The sequence below is a fragment of the Homo sapiens genome, chromosome 16, assembly GCF_000001405.40.
Source record: "Homo sapiens chromosome 16, GRCh38.p14 Primary Assembly".
Classification (NCBI taxonomy): Eukaryota; Metazoa; Chordata; class Mammalia; order Primates; family Hominidae; genus Homo; species Homo sapiens.
In genome coordinates this window covers 3,210,718-3,212,237 of record NC_000016.10, presented here as the reverse complement: position 1 = coordinate 3,212,237, position 1,520 = coordinate 3,210,718, and the positions used below count along the sequence as shown (strand labels likewise).

Genomic DNA, 1,520 nt, shown 5'->3' with positions numbered 1-1,520 from the left:
CATTACTGTCGTCACGCTCCAGGAATCCATGTCCCTACAATGGCTGCCTACAAACTGACAGAGCAAGTTCCTCCTTGTCTCCCCTTCTCTGTGTCAAATGCAGGGCAGATATATCTGATGGGCAGAGAGCCTGTCACTTGCTCTCATTCTAGCTGAAAGAGACACTCAGAAGCAAGTTTCTGGTGTACTTATTTCTATAGTGGGAGGTGGGCTCTCTTCCCAACAACATCCATAAATTAGGGGACTCTACAAACTTTGGAAGTGGGCCCAGATGCTTGGAAGCCACAAAGTCTGACAAATGTCCACTAGAGTCATCCTCTGGCTTGTGGTATTAATACGCACACCTCTTCCCCAAAACACACCCTCCTGAAAATGTTAGGCTGGATCCTAACATAACGCAAGTATCCCTTACAAAACTGGAAGCCCCACTCACCCATCTTCAAAAGAGGGACATTCAAAGGTGAAAATTAGTAGATAAAAATATACGTGGAAGAGCAGAGACAAAAGTGTGTGAGATAGACAAAAGACAAACTGAAAAACAGAATCACTTTTTTTTTTTTTGAGACAGAGTCTTACTGTCGCCCAGGCTGTAGTGCAGTAACACAATCTCGACTCACTGCAACCTCCACTTCCCAGGCTCAAGGGATCCTCCCACCGCAGGTTCCTGAGTAGCTGGTATTACAAGAACCCACCACCACGCCCAGATTTTTTTTTGTATTTTTAGTAGAGATGCGGTTTCACCATGTTGGTCAGTCTGGTCTCGAACTCCTGACCTCAGGTGATCCGCCTACCTCGGCCTCCCCAAAGGCTGGGATTACAGGCGCCTACTTCAGCCTCCCCAAGGGCTGGGATTACAGGCGTGAGCCACCATGCCCGGCCTGTAGACTGTTCTTTCTAGGTGTTAGATTACACTCTATTTTTTTTTTATTTTTTTTAATTTTTTTTAGACAGAGTCTCACTCTGTCATCCAGGCTGGAGTGCAGCAGCGTGATCTTGGCTCACTGCAGCCTCCACCTCCCAGGTTCAAGTGATTCTCCTGCCTCAGCCTCCCAAGTAACTGGGACTGCAGGTGCCCACCACCATGCCTGGATAATTTTTTTGTATTTTTAGTAGAGACGGGGTTTCACCGTGTTAGCCAGGATGGTCTCGATCTCCTGACGTCGTGATCCACCAGCCTAGGCCTCCCAAAGTGCTGGGATTACAGGCGTGAGCCACCTTGCCTGCCCTAATTTTTTCTCACATACTGAAAGCTTTGAAAAGGAAGATCTTGATACAGAGGGAAGGAGCCCTTCATCCAAGTCAACTATTTCAGAAAGTCTGAGAGAATGAGCAAACACAAGAAAGCAGAATGAGTAATATTAGTATTAACCAAAGTATGCTTTAAGCAGAAACAAGAATTGAAGAGGACAAAGATCATTCTATTTCTAGAAGGTATTTAATATAATTTATAATGAATGGATAACATTCACCAGCCTCCAGGCCTTCTGTGTTAGTCCGTTTTCGCTGCTATAAAGAAATAC

At 45.5% G+C, this 1,520-nt stretch overlaps 1 annotated feature.

The window, feature by feature from the left end:
- Nucleotides 242-470: a silencer, noted in NCBI's record as "fragment chr16:3261768-3261996 (GRCh37/hg19 assembly coordinates)". NCBI's record gives its function as "represses an EF-1alpha promoter that drives an FKBP-Casp9 reporter gene in an ReSE screen in K562 erythroleukemia cells {active_cell/tissue: K562}" and the evidence as "EXISTENCE:reporter gene assay evidence [ECO:0000049][PMID:32094911]".